This window comes from Homo sapiens, chromosome 15 (genome assembly GCF_000001405.40).
Source record: "Homo sapiens chromosome 15, GRCh38.p14 Primary Assembly".
In the NCBI taxonomy this organism is placed as follows: Eukaryota; Metazoa; Chordata; class Mammalia; order Primates; family Hominidae; genus Homo; species Homo sapiens.
Window position 1 is genome coordinate 100,214,544 of NC_000015.10, and position 21,073 is coordinate 100,235,616.

General features: G+C 47.3%; 1 protein-coding gene across 15 annotated transcripts in view; it reads right to left on the reverse strand.

Moving 5' to 3' along the window:
- ADAMTS17 (ADAM metallopeptidase with thrombospondin type 1 motif 17) overlaps positions 1 to 21,073 on the reverse strand; it is a 370,539-nt gene that overhangs the window by 243,107 nt on the left and 106,359 nt on the right. Inside the window, exon 1 of one of the 15 annotated variants that reach the window (XM_017021978.2) lies at positions 5,690 to 21,072. The exons of the other annotated variants lie outside the window; for them this stretch is intronic. Within the exon in view, the coding sequence (XP_016877467.1) occupies positions 5,690 to 5,798 (109 nt within the window). The 5' untranslated portion in view covers positions 5,799 to 21,072. Of the gene's footprint in view, positions 1 to 5,689; position 21,073 lie in introns of those variants that run through there. 15 annotated transcript variants of the gene reach the window in all.

Sequence of the window (21,073 nt, forward strand, 5' to 3'; positions counted from 1 at the left end):
GCAAAATAAATTTTTTAAAGGAATAAAATGGGATCCATCCTTCAAGACTATCTTCTGGAGGAGCATGGGATTGCATACGCACTTTTATTGGCCACTTCTTAATGGTACTGCTGACCTGGCCATGCTCTATTCTTCCGGGCACTGGAAATCACAGAATGTTCTAGGTTCACTTGCTCGGCCCACCATCCACGCAGGAGGCTGAAATCATTTCTTAATGGTATCTGTATTAGTTCCTTAGCTAGTCATCCCAATTCCAAATACGCACAAGCGACACGGCACACTTCCTGAGACGGTCCTCGATTATCACTATGAGCACAACGACACCATGAAAGAGTAAAGCTTTGCTGTTGCACTGTCCCGTGACAAGTTCATTACTGCCCTGCAGAGACAACTCTCTTTTAGGAGGAAACAACTGCCCATTCTGCTCTATTGTCCCATAGATCTTTTACACCTCCATTTGGTATCATGAAATAAAGACTAATTCCAACCCTCTCAATACAGAATCTCCCATCCAAAAACATAACAACCCAAGAATGTGGACTGCTGTTTCCTGACCCCTGCACTGTGCCTGGCAGGTTCCGGCTACAGCCAGAGGCAGCCCTCATGCCTGCGTTTGGAACGCAGTAGCAATACTAAATCAGACAGACTGGCGAGGCCAGCAATTAAACCAGAAGTTGGTGAAGCAAACTTCCCAAAGTGAAGCAAGATGTTGATGTGGAAGATCAGCTGCTTGTGAGATGAGCTGACGATTTTCCTGGACTCTTTGTTAGATTTCATGTCTGGATCTCGTCTGGAACATCTACCAGATGGATTAGGGCCCGAATGTCTGGCGTTCTTCTGATAGCTCCAGCCTTGTAACTGTCCCATTGTCATGGCAGAAGGAACCTCACTGCTAGCCTTGATTTCAGTATGACCGATTCTCCTTCATTATCTGAGCTTGTGCACTATAGACAACTCCACGTGGAGTCTTTGCATGGCCAACAGAGAAGTTGACAGCCCCTAAGATACCTGCCCTGGTCACTGCTGCCCTTGGGTAACAAGTTGGCCTTCTGGCTGATAGTCAGGGAAGTCTAGGGCTGGCCTGGCCTAAGTGACTCAGTCAGCAGACCCTGGAGTGCCCTTCTTGGTCCCTCCCCAGGTGTAAGGATGATGCACAAGGCCCCTGGGCTGCTCTGTAGGTAAGGGCAAATGGGCCTCTGCAAAGGGAGCTGCTAGTGTATTTCCCTTCTCCCGCTCGAAGACACAAGTATCAAAACATCCTGCTGCTGGCAGGATGGCCAGCGACCTCCAAGACACCATTTGCCTGAGGATGAATAACTCAAACTCAGAGTTTAGGTGTCGCTGACTCTCCCCAGGAGAACCAAGACTGTGCTTACAAGAGCAGAGCTGACTCGGGAGTCCCTGTTCCTAACATATCCTCAGCTCCCTTGGCCATTCTTGGGAATGTAAGCCACAGGGAGATTTCTCTTTGTGCCAGCAGAGTCTGAGCGGGGTGAGAAGGGCAGGCTCTGGACTGGGGTCTGCATTTGAGTCTCCCTCTGCCACTTCCCACCTGGGTGACTATGGCAATTGTTTCATCTCCCCAAGCCTTGTGCCCCCTTTTGTAAGATGAGATGAACACCTACCTCGTGGAATTGAGGATTAAATGAATAATGAGAGAAGAAGCAATGTTCAGAGTAAACCCTGAACAAATATTATCTAACACTGCAATTAGTTTGACCAAGTCCAAATTTTTTCTTAAAGTTTAACAGAAAGTATTTCTCAAGCCAAAACTCTGTGCCAAAAGGCACAGGACAATTTCACAATGATCGGCAGTTTAGTTGCCAGCGTAGAGGCTGTGAACCTCTAAATGCTTTTATCAACATGACATTTGGAAAGCTGAAGAACAGCAAAGAGCTGGGGACTGGGAAAACACCACCTTCACCGGCATCAGAGGCCACTCTCTTTATCTGCGCTGGGGGCCAGGACAAGGTTGGCCACGACAAGATACCAGCGTATTACAACGTCTGGAACCGCACTGTGCCTCCTTACCTTTGCTCTCCTTGCCTGACCTGGATTTTGCGCTGACTGCCTTTAAAGACAAGCTCACGGAACCCTTTTTCCCGATGCTGACACCTATCCTGACACAGTCTGCTGTCTACCAAGCTACCGGGATGCTTTATCCAGAGGCCTATGGCGCCCACCTTGGTTAGGTCCTGACGTTCCAGGCCCACCTAACAATTCACCCCTGCTCATCAAGGGGAAAGAGAACTCTTCACAAAACTTTTTCAGATTTTGAGATAGGTGAATTCATAATAATTAAGTAACAATATTTTACTAAGATTAGATTCGAAACACACATTGAATGCACTTCTTGGAAACATCACATGTTCTTCTGTTTTGTGAGGTCAGGGTGCCTTCCTGCTCTAGACTTCCCATGTATTTAATCAAACACAAGTCTAAAAATAATAAAATTAGTTTCCTGAAGCTGAAAATGCTGTTTTGAAGAGGAAGAGTTGATATTAAATTTATAACTAGACAACAGGGACATGAGACATGGGTTTGTGTTTCAGCAACATCTTTCTGATAGGAAAAATAAACAGGAGACTTCATGTTCCACAATATAAAATACCTGTGTTTCCCACCAAAATGTCATCTCGGACAAGGCAGGCAAGGAACAGTCTTTTCAATTAGTGGTACTAGGACAACTGGATATCCATATGCAAGAAAATGAATTTAGACCCCTACTTCGCATCATACACAAAAATTAACTCAGAGGGGATCACAGACCTAAACGTAAGACTGAAAATATAAAACTCTTAGAAGCAGTTTGGGAGGACAAGGCAGGCGGACCACCTGAGGTCCAGGAGTTCAAGACCAGCCTGGCCAACACGGGAAAACCCTGTCTCTACTAAAAATACAAAAAATTAGGTGGGCGTGGTGGTGGGTGCCTATATTCCCAGCTACTCGGGAGGCTGAGGCAGGAGAATCGCTTGAATCCGGGAGGCGGAGGCTGCAGTGAGCCGAGATCATGCCATTGCACTCCAGCCTGGGGCGTCAGAGCAAGACTCTTCTCAAAAACAAACAAAACAAAAAAGTAAATATTTGTGATCCTGGGTTAGGCAATGATTTCATAGGTATGATACCAAAAGTACAAGTGATAAAAAATGACTACATCAAAGTTGAAATTTTTTATGCTTCGGAAGATACCATCAAGAAAGTGAAAAGGTTCCCACAGTGGGAAATGATATTTGCCAATCATCTATCTGGTAAGTGACTTTTACCCAGAATACATGAAGAATCCTTACAAGTCTGTACACCATATATTTCAAAACAGCTAAAAGAGGAAGGAAAAAAGGAATGACTGAATGATTGACTGATTAACAGGGTCTCACTGTGAAGTGCTGGACTGCAGTGCTACAATCAGTGCTCACTGCCGCCTTGACCTCCCGGGCTCAGGGCATCCTCCCACCTCAGCCTCCCAAGTGGCTGGGACTACAGGTGCACACCACCATGCCCAGCTAATTTTCTGTAGATACAGGGTTTCACCATGTTGCCCAGGCTAGTCTCAAACTCCTGGGCTCAAGTGATCTGCCCACCTCAGCCTCCCAAAGGGCTGGGACTGCAGGCGTGAGCCACTGCACTCGGCCAAACAGACGATTTTAAATTTTCTCACCACAAGGAAATTATAAATATTTGAGATGACAGATATGCTAACTAGCCTGATTTGATCATTCCACAATGTAACATGTACTGAAACATACTGCACCCCATAAATACATACAATTATGGTTTGTCATTTAAAAATAAAATTCTTGGGAAGAATCCAACACCACCTCTCAGCAAAAAAAATTATTCCAACTCAATAAAAACCAAACACAATTTTTGAATGGGCAAATGATCTAAATAGACATTTTTCCAAAGCAGAAATATGTGTGGTCAATAAGCATGGGAAAATATGTTCAACATCAGCCATTAGAGAAAGGCAAATCAAAACCACAATAAGATACTACTTCACACCCACCAGAATGACTATAATCAAAAAGATGGGTGTTGGCAAGAATGCAGAGAAAACAGAATCTTCCTACACTGCTGACAGGAATGTAAAACGGTGTAGACACTCCCCATAGGAAAAGCGTTTGGCAGTGTCTCAAAATATTCAACCTAGAATTACCATCTGATTCAAGCAATTCCATTCCTAGTCACATATACGAAAGAACTGAAAACGTGTCCCCATAAAAACTCAAACATGAATATTTATGGAAACATTGTTCACAATATCAAAAAAATGGGAAGAACTCAAATACGCATCACTGAAAGATAAGCAAGTAAACACGCACACGTCCACCTGAACACGCAAACGTCCACCTGAACACGCACACGTCCACCTGAACATGCACACGTCCATCTACACATGCATATGTACCTCTAAACATGTATATGCAATGGAATATGATTTAACAAAAGGAGTGAAGTTCTGACACATGCTAGAACAAGTATGATGTTCTGATACAGGTTAAAGCGTAGATGACCCCTGAAAACATTATGCCAAAAATGAAAAGAGCCAGGCACAAAAGGCCACATATTGTATGATTCTGTTTAGATGAAATGTCCAGAACAGGCAAATCCATGGCAGCTTAGTGGGTGACTAGTGCTTGGGGACAAGAGTGTTGACAGGAAATGTGGAATGACTTCTAACGAGTACAGGGTTTATTTCTGGGGTGATAAAAATGTTCCTAAATCAAATTATGGTGATGGCTGTGTAATTCTATAAATATACTAAAAACCACTTTAGTACATAGCTTAGGTAAACTTTATGGTATGCAAATTGTACTTCAAAAAAGCAGTTTTAAAGATGTCATCCAGCATGCAAGGTCAAAATTTTCCTAAAAGCAATGTTTTTTCCTACTTATAAGAGTATAACATGGTAGATATTCTCAAGAACACTGAAGAACTTAAAACAGGAAAATCGCCACCACTCATAACCCCATCCCTATATAATCAGAGAGCGTTATCGTCCTCAGATAGGGCTTCTTCTATCTCAAACCCAGTGTTTGATCCCAGTTCGAGGCAAACTGCCTCCTAACGCATCCAGAGACCCTGGAATTTCACCTTCTAGTTGGCTCACTCAAAGTCTTCACATGGACAAGGAGAATCTATGGCAACTTCAAGGAGAAAGCACAACAGCAGGAAAGAATAATTCTGACTGTTCTGGGTAAAAGTAAAAGGCCCCTTCATCTGACCTGGGAATGCTAGAAACCTGGAAGCATTCAGAAGTCCCACATGCTCCCTTCATGCAAAAAGATACAAACCATTCATCCCTCTAGTTCCTTTTCTTCCTTTAATCCTTTCTACTTTCCACTGAGCATTCTTTATAACAAGTTTTAAAATAATATGTGCCAAAAACCGCAATAAGCACTTTACATCTGTTACCCCACAACAATTTTATGAGGCGGGTACAATTTTATTATTCCCATTTTGCAGAGAAGGAAAATGAGACCTCACATCCTAGGCTCATGTCTATTCCTAATGCATCGCCATGGTACCTTCTGATGCATGAAGTCTCATCACCAATCCATCCACTCATTTATTTATTGAACAAGGAGCATGAACCTGAAAGTCTGGCCTTAGACACTCCTCATAATGGACAGCAGACATGTCGATGTCAGGCGTCCCTACCAGCACACTCCCCAGCAAGGGTCAGACTAACCCTCGAAAAGTGGGAAACATTCAGTAGCCCGAGATGTCACCAGCGCCTCCTGTGTCTTTTTTGTTGAACTGAAATAAATCCATCCTAAGTGGGGTGGCAGCGGAAGCATATGCTTTTCTTGTCTTTGCCACCTTTCTTCTTTCCCCCGAACGCTTCACTGTGAAAATATTCAAACACAGAAAAGTAGAAATAACAGTAACATGATCAGCTCTAGTCCCTCCACTTAGATGTAACAACTGATAATATTTTCTCCCATCTGCTCTACCTCGCTATTTTTGTATTAGGATATAATTCACACACCATTAAGTTCACCCCTTTGAAGTATATGCTTCAGTGGTTTTAGTACTTTCTCAAAGTTGTGCAGCCATCATCATGACATAATTCGAGAAGATTTTCATCACTCTTATAGCTAGGGTGATGAAAGATGTGAGATCACAGCCCACTTCCTCCTCCCCGAGCCCCTGGCACCCACTAATCTACTTTGTCTCTGTGCACTCGCCTCTTCTGGACACTTCACCTAATGGAATCACACGATATGCGGCCTTTTGTGACTGGCTTCTTTCATTTAGCATAACGTTGTCAAGGGTCATCCATGTCACAGCATGTAATGTTAGTACTTCTTATTGCCAAATAACATTCCATTGCATGGATATTCCACAACTGAGGCATCCATTCATCAACTGATGGACACTTGGGTAGTTTCTACATTGGGACTATGACGGATAATGCGACTGTGATTATTCACGTACAAGTTTCTGCACGGACCTATGTTTCCAATTCTCTTGGGTACCTACCTAGGAGTGAAACAGCTGCCTATACAATAACTCTATGTTTAATTTCTTGAGGAACTGGGAACATGCTTCCTGATTTCCAATTTAATACCACCAGTTTGACGGGCAAACGCTTATGTGTTTTTTTTTTAAACAGTGACACCTACAAGATGCTCACAAATCTTCTCAATTAAATAACACAATTAGCCTCTTGAAATACACAAAAATATGCTGGAAATGTTTAATGCCCACTAAAGCTACGCCAATAAACTTCACTTTTTTTTTTTTTAACAGTGACAGAATTTGTCTCACTGCCTGTAGACTCTTGAGTCCCGCATAGCATATGTGTGTGTGTTTTAAGGAGAGAAAAAATTTTGCTACAGTAGTGGACAGCTCATACACTCATATAAGGTGGTAATCTGCACTATTTGTACAAACTATATGTGAATAAAGTTGTTCTGAATGGTCAGCCGTTGGGAAATTTTATGCTATAATACCTATTGTTCTTTTGGAGTAACAAACTCTGCCCTGAGATAACGGAAGTTCTAATATACTTCCACCTCCCTTTAATTACAATACATGAGTCTTCCCTTGCTCTAAAATCAGCCATACGCCAAGTCAGTCATGACCACTTGCTGAAGCCTTGGCACGTGTGCAAACTCCCACGTCATTCTCATGGGTCTCAAGTTCTTCCCGAAGGCTGTTTCTGTAAATGGATGAAGAGTGCCTCTGGGACAGGTTTGCCGGGTGGTCTGAGAGCTGGTGTGAAATTATCCAGAATTCCATTTACTTCCAAGAACTTCTGCTCCTCTTAACAGGGCCTGAAATAAGGCTGCTTGTTGACTTCTGCCTGTGCTCGGGGTTGGCCCGGCCTTGCACACTCCTTCTGCTCTCGGGCTGACACCTCTGCCGGAGGCCGCCTGGGGTCTCTGAGAAGCTGTGCAGGCATCACCTGAGGGCCTCGAGGCCATCATCACACAGAGGCACACAGTCTGTGACCCAGTCAACCAGGTGGATTTGTGCAAACCATTTTATTAAACGAAGTCACGCCTTAGCCTTAAGAGTGCTTTCATGGCAGTCTGATCTCACCACTGCAGGAGCGGGATCAGCTGCAACCCAGCAATTTGCAACGTGACTATTTCCTTGTAGCTACGGAAGACTCATCCACACAGAACAAGGTGGACTGTGGTACAGACACCAAAATAGATCCCAGAAAGGAAGCAGAGTGCCAGGTAAGCACCGAGGAGGTGCCGCTTCATGCAGACAGTTCTCTGCCTTAAGTCCTGGCATCCGGCTGTGGATGGCTCTTAATACCATGCTGGCGGGCAGACCAGATGCTCCTGCCAGCCCACGTAGATGAAAGGGGCCACAGCACGTCTGAACAGAAAGACATGATTCAAATAAGCGTGGCTTTGTTCTGCCGCATCTTCTGAAAACCCGGGCAGCCCTGCCTGGAATGAGGCAGATCTGACTGGCTCAGTGCTGCACTGGGAGAACACAGAACCTGGGCAACATGTGCACCTGGGTGGCCTCCGTGTCCCCCCTGAACCAAGCACACAGCTTGGGGCCAGGTCCTCTGGCCCAGTCCATCCTAGGACACAAACATCTACCATCCAACATCCCTGGAGGGCTGGACTTCTCCACCGGAAAAGTCTGGAAATATTGGGGGCAGGAGTTGTTACACGACTGAGGGGTCATGCCTGGACAGAGGCCAAAATGGCCAACGCTCTGCAGTATGGCAGACACTCCTGCACAACAAGAAACTGTTCCGCCCATGATGCCAACGTGGCTGCCATTAAGAAATGGCCTTTTCAGAGTAAGAGTGACCAACTCGAATGCTACGGACCAGGCAGGAAGCCTAAGGGGGAGGCAGGCACCCTTCCAATGGTCTTTTGAATTGTGTTCTTCTAACATGGACACACTTTGCTGGCATTCAAATCACAAAGGGGTGTTTCCTGGGATTTAATTCTACGAAGAAAGCTAGGCTTTCACATTTCTTCCCTTGAAACACTCAGCGCTCTCACCCTATTTTCCATTTTCCCACTTTTGATAAAGATGCGGGTGCAGGAACATTTCAGTTTTCTCTTACTGCACCACAAGGAAAGTCACAGCACAATGTGAGGACGAGAGGCACCTGTCACTTAGCATCAGGGGAGGGAGACAAAAGGACATGGTGGGGACTAAGGCAAACTGGAAACTGTCTAAAGGGGACAGCCACGCCTTAGCTCCAGCTCACTGCTGCCACGTGGGGATGTGCGCCTGGAGGTGCCAGATTTTTCCAAAGCCACCAAAGAGTCAGTTGTTTCCTTTCTTAGGAAAAAGCACTGACTCTTTTTTTTCAGTATTAGAAGACTAATAAGAAAATATTAAACAAAACATGTTTGAGACCAGATGCAGCCTGAGTAACTAGTTTGCTACTTCTGCATGAAGTATATAACCATGTTTCAAAGTGCTCTCTCTCTCTATACTGGCCCTGAGCTCATCTCACGGGGGCAGAAGCTGGATATTGCCTTCCCAGGAAGCCAGGAGCAGGGCAAAGAAGGCAGGGACTCACTCTGAGAAGAGGAGATGAATGAGAATCACAGTGACTCTTGTCCTGGTGGCCCACATATGTGCGTGTATTAGGGTTTTCTTAGAGAGATAGAACTTCACACACACACACCCACAGACACACACACATATATGTGTATATATACATGTATATATGTATATACATATAGTGTATATATACACATGTATGTGTATATATATATACACACACACATATATATATCCTGGGTGTGTCTGTGTGGGTGTATATATATGTGTGTGTGTGTATATATGTGTGTATATATATGGAGTTTATTAAGTATTAACTTATACATTCACAAGGTCCCCCAATAGGCTGTCTGCAAGCTGAGGAGCAAGGAGAAGCAGTCCGAGTCCCGAAGCTGAAGAACTTGGAGTCCAGTGTTCAATGGCAGGAAGCATCCAGCATGGGAGAAAGACGTAGGCTGGGAGGCTTGGCCCATCTCTCCTTTTCACGTTTTTCTTATTGCTTTATATTCACTGGAAGCTGATTAGATTGTGCCCACCAGATTAAGGGTGGATCTGCCTTCCCCAGCCCCCTGACCCAAATGTTAATCTCTTTTGCCAACACCCACACAGACACACCCAGGATTAATATTCTGTATCCTTCAATCCAGTCAAGTTGACACTCGGTATTAACCATCATGGTGGGGATGTCCACACTGCCCACCGCCTTTGGAGTGTACTTGGCGATTACAGAGCAGAGACAGAGCAAATGCAATTGTCTAAGTGCAGTGAGTACAGGAGGGTGGGGGGTACAGATATACCAGGGAGGGAGAGGGAACAGGATGGGGAGGCTTTGGTGGGCGGTAACTTCCTCCTTTGCAGCCAGCCATTTGTGATTTTTGCAGCAGATGTTTACAAGGGTAAAAGAATTGAGATACAGACAAGGTTACTACATCATAAATTACTCAGTCATCACAAGATTTCAAAGAGAAAACAAAAAAACCTCAAAAGGGATTTGGTTTGAGAGTGAAAACGCTTGCCATTGTGCAGAGGCAAAATATTCTCCTTTATTATAAGGTCCTCGTTCTTCACCCCCAGTGCAAAGGCGAGGAAAGGTCACTGCTTCCCCAGTACTCTCTCTGATCTGCTGTAACCTTCTCCTAGGATTACATCTCCCAAGCAGCCTTACAGAGACACAGAACACTCTTTGTCCTGCACTGACCGCACCAGGCATTGACATTCTAGGAAAGGGGAATCCCTCCACTTCCAGAGAGAGCCTCCGGGGCCAACCCCAAGGCTCTCAACAGTCCTACTCTTTGTCAAAACAGGGCCACCCACAGGTTTTAAGGGTAGAAGCAGCAAAGGAAGCTGCGAAGCTTGTCAGGCAACTTCAAGAACCCCACAGACTTAACCACCTGCATTCCATCTGGACCCATGAGCACCCAGAAGTAATGAGCCCCTGGATGTGTCATGGATCCACGAGGCTGCCTTGCTCATCACTGCCTTGCTAGAACCAAGTCCTCCCTGTTACTCACCACCAATTTCACGGCCATGGGGAACCTGCCTTTGTAGGCTGAATTCCACAAGAAATATACTTTCCTCCAGTTGCAGCAAAACATGCAGCTGCTATTGCTCCAAGATTGGAAACATACTTAACCATCTTGGTAAAAGCCTTCTGAGGAACATAGCAAAGATTTTATAAAAGGGCTAAAAGATCCTTTTTAATTCTTTTTTTAAGAGTTGGGGAAGAACATACAAATCATTCCTCTGTCATGTCAAAAATGTATATGGTTTCGTTAAAATAACTGAGTGCCAGCACATGGCTCAAACTAGGACCCAAGAGGGGACAAAGGGGACTTGGGGGAGCTTCCCCGATGGTTCAGAAAGAAACCCCAGCAGCAGCCATTCATGCAGTCCTTAAGCAGTCACGGCCTCTGTGCCCATTCATGCAGTCCTTACAGCAGTCACGGTCTCTGTGCCATTCAGTCCTTACAGCAGTCACGGCCTCTGTGCCATGCAGTCCTTATAGCAGTCACGGTCTCTGTGCCATTCAGTCCTCACAGCAGTCACGGTCTCTGTGCCATTCAGTCCTTACAGCAGTCACGGTCTCTGTGCCATTCAGTCCTTACAGCAGTCACGGTCTCTGTGCCCATTCAGTCCTTACAGCAGTCACGGTCTCTGTGCCCATTCAGTCCTTAGAGCAGTCATGGTCTCTGTGCCATTCAGTCCTTATAGCAGTCATAGCCTCTGTCCCATTCTGTCCTTACAGCAGTCACGGCCTCTGTGCCCACTCTGTCCTTACAGCAGTCACGGTCTCTGTGCCATTCAGTCCTTACAGCAGTCACGGCCTCTGCGCCATTCAGTCCTTACAGCAGTCACGGTCTCTGTGCCATTCAGTCCTTACAGCAGTCACGGTCTCTGTGCCATTCAGTCCTTATAGCAGTCATAGCCTCTGTGCCATTCAGTCCTTATAGCAGTCATAGCCTCTGTGCCATTCAGTCCTTATAGCAGTCACAGCCTCTGTGCCCATTCAGTCCTTACAGCAGTCACGGTCTCTGTGCCCATTCAGTCCTTACAGCAGTCACGGTCTCTGTGCCATTCAGTCCTTACAGCAGTCACGGCCTCTGTGCCCATTCAGTCCTTACAGCAGTCATGGCCTCTGTGCCATTCCGTCCTCAGAGCAGTCATGGTCTGTGTTCTGGGTGCTGCTCCAGGGTGATGTCAGCCCAGCCAGAGAGGTTCCAAGACAGTGGAGGATCTGGGTCCTTGGAGTTCCCAGGGAGGCCACAGACTACCCAGCAGTCATGACATGAGTTACGCCTCCAAAGATAAGCAGGAGTCAGCCGGGGGAAAAGGAGGCTTGGCCCTTCAGGCCTGAAACCCCAAATGTCCAGGCACATAATCAGATGTGGTTTTGAGGGACCATAATACAATCAGAAGCACAACTGTATACCATCCACATCCAGACCACGAAGTGAAGAGAGGCTTTTCCGTGAAACTGAACTCGTGATATGGACACATGCAGAGGCCAAGACTAGACACCGAGTGGAAATGGGATTCTGGAGAAATCCTGTAACTCTCTCACTGCATTTGCAGATCTGGGCTTGATATGCCTGGAAAGGAGAGTGCAGGGGCTTTCAGCAAACATGGGTGGAGATGGACCATAAAAGACCTCAGAGGATGATCTCGGTTGGCATTTTACCTTGTGGATGCAGAGAAACCAATGGTGAGTTTTATACATGGGAGTGATGGGATTAAATTTAAACAGAAAATAAGTGAGAATTCATTGGTTGGTTTGATCTAATACAGTATCTGGTACACAGTTGGTAACAACAGCTATTAGGTTGAGTCCTACACAATTGCTAATAATCAACTGTTCTGATCTAGAAAAATGACAATTTCATGTGAGTCAGCCTAATATTTGTGATTTGATGCAATTAAGTGACAAATATATGACGTCCATCATTTCAAAAGAGACTAAAATAAAGATCCTGGGCAGAATAAGAAAAGCAGTAGCTGTTCCCACCTGGGCCTCTCCTGGCTCTCCTCCCTCCCACCATGATGAAACCCTACCCACAGCCTCAGGCCCCACCTCTGAGCACTGATGAACCCCGAGTGCCCCCTCAGCCAGATCTCGCTGTTCAAATCCAGATCTGTGTTTCAACCATCTCCTGAACACTTCCACCTGGATTTCTCACAGGCTAAAGTCAAACCTCTGACTCAGGCCCAGCTCCAAATCAAAGTGGGTTCACCTCAACCCAAATAACCACTGTCTGTTCTGCTGGGAGCAAAACTGAGATCCTCTGTCTTTCCCACCCACATCAGAAATCCTCACTACCCCCTCCAATCCTCCCCATTCCACCTCCAATTCATTACTAAGTCATGTCAATATGGAGATCTCAGATCCACCCACTTTTCTTTATCTCCCCTAAATGACTGTACACTTGGCCGCAAGTAATAGAAAACAATGGTTTAATCAGAGACGAGACACCATTGCTCAACACAGAAGTCTGGAGAGGCAGGCGGCCCTGGATTGATCAGGCAGCCCAGTGATGGCACATCGCTGGATGGACAGATCTGTGGTCCTCCTGGCCTTTCCCTCATGGTCCCAAGACAGCTGCAGAAGCCCTAAGCACTGTCCTCACACAGTAGCTTCCCAGGGTGGAAAACCTTTCTCTGAGGCTGCCAGCAGGCCTTTGCTTAGATTTCCCTGGGCTACGTGGGATTGCACAGCCACTGCTGCAAGGGAGACCAGGTAAGTGATTATCCAGGAAAAGGAATGGACTGTCGTGACCGGCTTCATCACCTGAGGGTGGGCACACAGCCCAGCAATGTATAAGAGAGGGGCATGGCTGCTAAGTCCACAACTAGCAATACCTTCCAAACCCACTGTTATCTTAGAGCAACGGCTTTCATTCCTGACCTTGCTCCCACTGCAGTAAACATGGCCACGTCATCTGCCCATAGCTCTTTGATGATGAATCCCGACACTCAGATAAAATCCACGACGCTTTGTGGAGCCCTCAAGGCCCTGCAGATACAGCCCTGCCTTATTTCTCACTACTGGGCCTCCTTCATGTTCCTCAAATGCTCCAAACTCTTTCTTGCTTCAAGGCTTTCAGAAGGGGCCATCTCCTCACCTACACGCTCTTTCCCGAAATCTTTACATGGCTGACTCCTTCTCACAGTTCGGATCCTAGCCTTGATGTTACCATCTCCGAAAGGCCTCAGAACAGTCTACTTTGACACCATCCAGCGCGTGACCTCTGCATTCAAGAAACCTGGCCCAGTTTATCATCATATCTATTTGTATGACAAGTTCTTTTATGCCTGTCACTCTGATTAGACTGTAAGTGTTCTGAAGGCAGGAATCTCATCTGCTTTGCACATCACTATAATACTGGTACCATACGCAAAGCCTGACAGGTACAGAGGCTCATGAACACTGCTGAATTCATTATTGATCAATTAGTGCATTAATGAACTAACTGAAAGAGGGACTGGACCGAGGAGAAAAGGAAAACTCGAGGGTGAGAGTGAGCAGGTACATTTAGGGCAGGATGAGGACACAGACCCAGCCCAAGTGGACATGTGAGAGACCACGAGAGAGCGCTGAACAGACACAGGCAGGTGAGGGCATGAAACGTCAAATGCCACACTTGGCATGCTCTTGGAGAACTCCTATTCTCTACCCCTCGTGTTTCCATGCAGAGTGAGGTCTGCCACAGCAATGCTCTGCCTGGCAAGGGCAGGTGACTTGTCTGTCCAATGGTCTGGGGGAAGGAGCTGGCCTGCTCACTAGCCCCCCAACCCCAGCTCTCCCTGCCTACCTGTGGGAGGATGGGGCCCTGTGGTGGGCTCACCACCCACAGTGTCACCTGCCTCTACGAGGGGGCCATTGCCCTGCGGTCCTGTCTGTGACAGTTGCAGAAGAGAAGTTGGATAGTGCTTCCGTTAAATTTCAGGGAGCAAATTGGATCATTCTAAGGTGAAACATTCAGTGACATTTGGGCCCCCTTCTCCAATCAGCTTCCTTGGTAGTAATGCTCACAGACACTGTGACTACCACTGGTTCCAAGCCTGGGAGGGGAAGATGGTTCTTATGGAGTATCCCTGAAGACCCCAACAGAGTAGCTCACCACTGACACTGCAGGTGCTGAGGAGCCAGCACAGCTTTAAGTCCTGCACAACCCAACAGCTTGCAAATAGGACGCAAAGATGGTTTCAGGCTATGAATCACTCTCCCTCCTAGGTAGCTCTCCCCACCCCCTCCCCACATTGACAGAAGTGACCATTGACTGGACTCCCAGGCCTCTTATCTAATATCCTGCCCTGCAACTCTGACGTGAAACATGAGTGTTGCTGATGCCTTCCCTTGCAAATTCCTGCCTTACAAATCTCTGCTGATGTCTTGGTCCATGGGACAATCACTCTTATTTCAGTGGCTTCTGTTCTATGACGCACAGTGGTTCTGCCTGTTGACCTGGATGCTCACTTCACATTCAGGAAGTCTTCTCTCTGGACTGAGAACCACAGCAAGGCTGGTCCCGCTAAACTAAAAAGGACCCAGTCTCCTGGCTGCAGTCCAAAGGATCCACCCTCTGTTGACCTCAAAGAATCATATGATGTCCCAGAGGCAACCACTCAAAGGTCACATGATCCGTTGAAGATGCTGACACGCCTCCTCCCACAACAAAACACCCACAGAGCCTCAGGAGAACTAACTGCAAAGTTCCCTCTCCCTGACCAAATGCAAACATCTTCCTTTGAAGTGTAGACAGAGAACGCAAGGGCAACTCTCTTGCAGTGGTGAAGTATGGAGCTCCAGTGAGCAGGTGGACACAGAGCCAAGATGAAAGGCCACAGCACCTTCCCTGACCAGCAGGAAATTGCCACACAGTCACCTGAGATGATCAGTGCAGGGAAAGCCTGCCTGTGTTGGCCTCCCTCACAGCTAAGGAGGATGCACCCACAGCACATCAACTAGCTCCAACTCACTCTGCCCCCACTGCCAACCACCCATCCCATGCTGAAGTCCTAGAAGTTTCCTGGCCAAGCTGCACGAGCATAACCAACACCGGGCACTTAAACATAACCAGGGGCATATTAACTGAGAAGACAACTCAGAATAAGTGGTTTTCTCAGTTAAACTTTCTCCGCAGTTTGGGCTTGCAGAAGAGCACAAACACGTCACGAATGACACCCGCGGTGCACGAAAGCCACACTTGCAGACCCCTATCTTTGTGGTACCTTCAAAGAGAACTCCACATTCTACAGAGCGTCCAGTGGGTCTCCACATCAGATGCGCATCCAGGGCTGAGGGCAGGCTAGATAGTAACAGATTCCTGTGTATAACTCTTTCCAGATGCTGGCTGGTACAGAGTTGGAGGAGAAGTCATCCATGCCATAGACACACGAGCTAATTCCAAACCTCACAGCAGGGAGGGATCTGAGGCCAGCAATGGTGCAAGGAGAGCAAGGGGTGGAGGAAACGGGGTTAGACTGGGATGGTCTGCAAATTGCAATGGCATCATAGCCGAAAAGTTCCTGAAAAGTCTAATTGTCCTGAGGCATCTTCATAACAGCTATCTCAGGCCTGACCACTGGGTTGAGATGGGAGTGACTGGCATTTAACACTTTTTTCGGGTTTGATCACTCAGCAAAAGCTTAGGAAGTATTGCATTTTGAATGAAAGCATTTATTGTTTAAATGAAGGCACCAATAGTGGGTAACGACAATGCTTGGAAGAAACAAAATTATAAAAATGAATTTAAACACACACACACCTAGCTTCGGAAACATGTCCACTGTTGATACCAAACACCTCCTGAAACAGGTGTTGGGACTGCCTGGGGACCCAATTAGGAAGCCATCACTCTGTCTCCCAGCAGCCAGGGGACAAGAACAGCCCACGGGGGGAGGAGACAGAGGGATTAGCAATAAAGCAAGGTATGTCTTGGAAGGCAGCCACCCTTTCCACCTGGTGCTGAGAACTCTGTTGGCACCAAAAGGAATTGTGAAGTTGGCAACCCCATCAGAACACAGAGAGAGCGCCTGCACATCCTGGGAGGAAGATAATCCAAAGCAGTCTTTAAAATAAATACTTCCATCAGGGAATTTAAGTACTTTGTATCTAGCAATGGTGTGCCTCATTATTTTCAGGACCGTGTTATGTTATGGCCTACGTTGCTTCAAATTCTGAACTCATGCCATTTGTCAAAGACAATAAAATACCAAAGGCACAACTACTTATCAGATAATCCAGTGGAAATTTTAATTGAGGCTTCAGTGTTAATTCCTCTTGGCAATGACCCCTATGTCTAACTCTCTGGCTAATTCTCATTTCATTAAAGACAATTCCCAGTGTGCATAAGCTTCTTATTTCATAAACCAGCCACTGGAATCCACAGGGGATAACTGCCTTCCCACAGGAACATCAGCACCTCCCATTCGCTGGCCTGACAGGGACCATGAATGAGGAAGAAAAGAATCCTGGCCAGTTACTGATGGTGATCTGTTTCCTTCTCCACTGACCGCCTGTAATCAAATCCTTTTTCTAAGTGTTACAGAAGCTGATCAGACTTGGGATAAAAAGGCCTTCTCCCAAGCTGATGTCACACAATGTGTAATTTCCTGGTGTGTCCAAGGGTTCTCAGGGCAGGAGTGAGTTTGGAATCACCTACTTGGCTGGTCAGGTGCCGGTTTTTCTTGAACTCACTCAGTCTTGTCCAAAAGGGTCTCAATGGTCTGTTGCCTCCTTCTGAGCTTTGGGTATGCATTTTCTGGCCTCAGATTCGCCCCTGATTGTATTAGGTCATCTTACCGTCATCCTCAGGAGAAGCGAATAATGTGTAGTAATTCCTCATCCTTTTTCTTCCTTTTGAGCCCAATTTAGGCTGAGCACAGACATAGAATAAATCTTGGCATCGTCCTTAGTCTCCACATCTAATTCCTGAACCTTCATTTTACTTGTGAATTATACTTACTCTAGAACTCAACAGAGTAACAAAAATGAATCACGGCGACCTTGCCCCCACTTGAATTGTCTTAGTGTCAAGACCTGTTTTCCCTCAGCTGAAGTAATAAAGAAATTGACACTTCCAATGAGATAGGCAGAAAAATTGGGTTGGGTTGGGGATACCTGGCCAGAGGCAGCTCTAGATTTCATTACAAGGCTCAGAATGGAGAACTTTCCTCACCAGAACTAGGCTAACCCTGGCCTAGCAGCGGAAGCCAATCCACCCGGGCAGGACACCTGCCTGCAGCATGGAGCCAGGGTGGGAGGTGGGCTTCCCCCTGCCAGCACCTCCCCAACTCCTCTCCTTCCCCTCAAGGCAGATGTGAGGTTCAAGTCCCGGGTATCGACCCATCATCCCTGGGCTCTGAAAGCCTGATGGAGATGAAAATAGTGCCAGACATGGAATGAACACTTGGTGTTCCCAGACTCACATCAAGTCATGCAGAGAGGTGACACATCCTCCCAGTAAACCCACCTTCTTCTTAACATGAAACACGCTGGTGGGACGTAGATGCCCAATCGGCTATTCCCTTCCCCTCCTTTTGATGGCAACGAAGGTCTCACGCTGGGCAGCCACAAAGGGCTCTGGCGGTAAGTGCAGGACACCAAGTCACCAGAACTGAAGTCTTCCTGTGTCAGTGGACAAGTTATGTGACCCCACCAAGCCTGTTTCCTGAATAGCAGGAGTGACTTGGCCATTTGGCCCATGCGGGACACCCTGCCCAGGCCCTCCTCTCACTGCCTCCTCACAGTTCTTCACACTGACACCATGGAATTTGCGTCTTCAGGTCTCGGTTGGAGGCGGCGCAGATCGATTCCACTGCAGCAGGTCTCACAGGCAGAGGCCATCTCACACTCCACCCCAGAGGAGGGACGCCGTGAATCTCCAAGGTCCACTGCCCCATGTCAGTTTTTAAAGGGAGAGTATTGAGGTATTCAGTAAATATGGGTTGAATCTGAGGTTCCTCTACCTACTGCACAGATAAAAAAGGGTGTTAAATGGTACAGAAGAGGCCAGGCGCGGTGGCTCACGCCTATAATCCTAGCACTTTGGGAGGCTAAGGATGGTGGATCACCTGAGGTCAGGAGCTCCAGACTAGTCTGTCCAACATGGTGAAATCCCGTCTCTACTAAAAAGACAAAAAATGAGTCGGGCGTGGGGACGGACGCCTGTAACCCCAGGTACTCAGGATGCTGAGGCAGGAGAATCGCTTGAACCCAGGAGGCAGAGGTTGCAGTGAGCCAAGATTGCGCTATGGCACTCCAGCCTGGGCAACAAGAGTGAAACTCCATCTCAAAAAAAAAAAAAATACAGAAGATTAACTCACTGAAAAGTCATATAAGTCGCCGTTTTTTAAGATGGTCAACAGGAGTCACAAACGGAACTGGAAATTCCCTAGCACTGTGTCCTGAGTCCTTCATCTCTCCAAATACCATTACAGGGCAGATGGGCAAGTTTTATTAGCTCGAAAAATATGTTTAAATGTTTTGATTAGTGAAATCAGTTGTATTAATAAAACTCATTGCATCTCTCATGTGCAGTCGATGGGAACACAGTGGGGGCGTGAAGATGCTGGGTCTGTGTTCCCATCACACAGGCAAAGGACAGAGAAACACGCAATGTCCAGCAATAACTGAAAACTAAATGGAGAGGCCGCTTCTGTCTCTCTGAGGAGATGCTCTTGAACAGAGACCTAACGGTGGGAAGAGAGCGAGTTATGGAGATGTCAGGGGGAGAGTGTGCCGGGCCCAGGAAGATTATGGGTGCCAAGCTGGAGATGGAGGCGAGCCTGGCAAGGGAAGGAGGAGGCTGAGGCAGAGGTGGCTTCCCGGGAGTGAGCACCAGGAAGAGAGGTTGGCAGGAGAACCCTGGGCCACATGTCCTGGGCGCCCTACTGTTCTGTCAGTTCTATCTTAAGTGTCTTCAGAAGCTGTTAGAAGATTCTGAGCAGGGAACCCACAGGATCTGGTTTGGGGCTTAAAAGTAACCCTCTGCCTGTCATGTAAGAAAAAACTGTTGAAGAGGAAGCTCCGTGGCAGGGAGGAGACCCAGCAGGCAAGGGCAGCACAGGCCTGGACCGTGGGAGGAATGGCCGGTGTGGTTCAAAGAGGTCTGATCGGGAATATATTTTGAAGGTGGAGTGGACAGGCATTGCAGATGGATTAGAAGTGTGTATCGGGCACCTTCAGAAACAAAGACAGTACAACAGCCAGTCGACTACTAGAAAGAGCTAATAAAACTCGCAGCCACCGTTTTCCACGAGGCAGACAGGCACTGTGCCAAATGCTTTACGTTCGTTCCACATTTGATCCCCAGGACACCGCCTGGCATATGGTAGTCCAGTCCTGATGCTACCAGTAAGGAAGATGAAGGATACGGGCCCACAGTCATGTACTGGGAAGGAGCAGAGCCAGCTGCCTCTTCAAGCCCCTTCTTGCACTCTGTGACCTGTCTCATTGGCCCCATCCATAATCCCTGCTTTTCCAATTCCCTCCAACTTTCCCACACAGGGTGCGCAAAGCTGGGTTTGGGGGAAAACGACTCCTTGGTCCAACACGTGACTGTCTTATTGCTTCCTCTTCTAGGATGAAAACCTCCTGGGGTTTCCACTTTATCTCAAAACATATGTTTACCTTGGCATTCGCAGCTCTGTGGCAGAGGAAACGCTGCAACCAGCCCGTAAGGCAGCCCCAGGGACTCCCCGACCACTCCTCTGACTGCTGCCTCTCCGGGAAACCTTCCATTCCATCAGCAGCTGAGCCAGGGTGGAAAGGAAGGGGCCATCCCAGCTTCTCCCAAGGCGCCCCCTCCACAGCCTATGCACAGCTGTTTTGTCCTGTTTGATTTTGTAACCACGGGGTAGAGGAGACAATAGAAAATATCTGGAATATTGTGCAACCAAACAAGAGAAAGGCAGTGGGAACATGAGGGAAGAGGCATGAATAAGCTGAATTGGCTTAAGAAGAAAAACAAGGTAATTATGTTCACGGAATAAAACCCCAGAATGCCACTGGAAGAGGGAAAATAGTGCTGGGCCATGACTCCTGCCTCAGCGATTCGAGAACAGGAAGGCAGACGCGGGCCCACGATGAGATAGGATGCAGGAGGTGCTCGGGGAGAAACGGAAGGGAGAAATGGCCTTTATCAGAAGCCTCTTCTGTCAGCAGTGGTGTGACCAGGATTCCATGTGCTAGAAAAGCCATGCGTCATGCTTGTTCTAGGAAGAATGTCAGTAGGGCTGGTGGCAGGCAAGGGCCTGTGCAGTGCTGGCCCCCTGGTTACTTACACAGCTGCTGGGCACCTGGCTTTCCTGAGCATGCAAAGATCCTCCCCACACTGACCTCCCCGACCACCCCACACCATGCACACACATACGGCCAGTAGAGTTGAGCCCTCCCGTCTCTCAGGTGTCATCCATGCCCTCCTGTCTCAGGTGCTGCCCACCAAGACTCAGATCAGTGGTTCTCAAAATTAAGCGTGTGTCAGAATCTCCGGAAGGCTTGCCACATCACAGATGCTCGGCATCACCTCAGAGATTCTGACCCAGAAGGACCCCGAGGAAGCTGAGAATGTGCATTCCT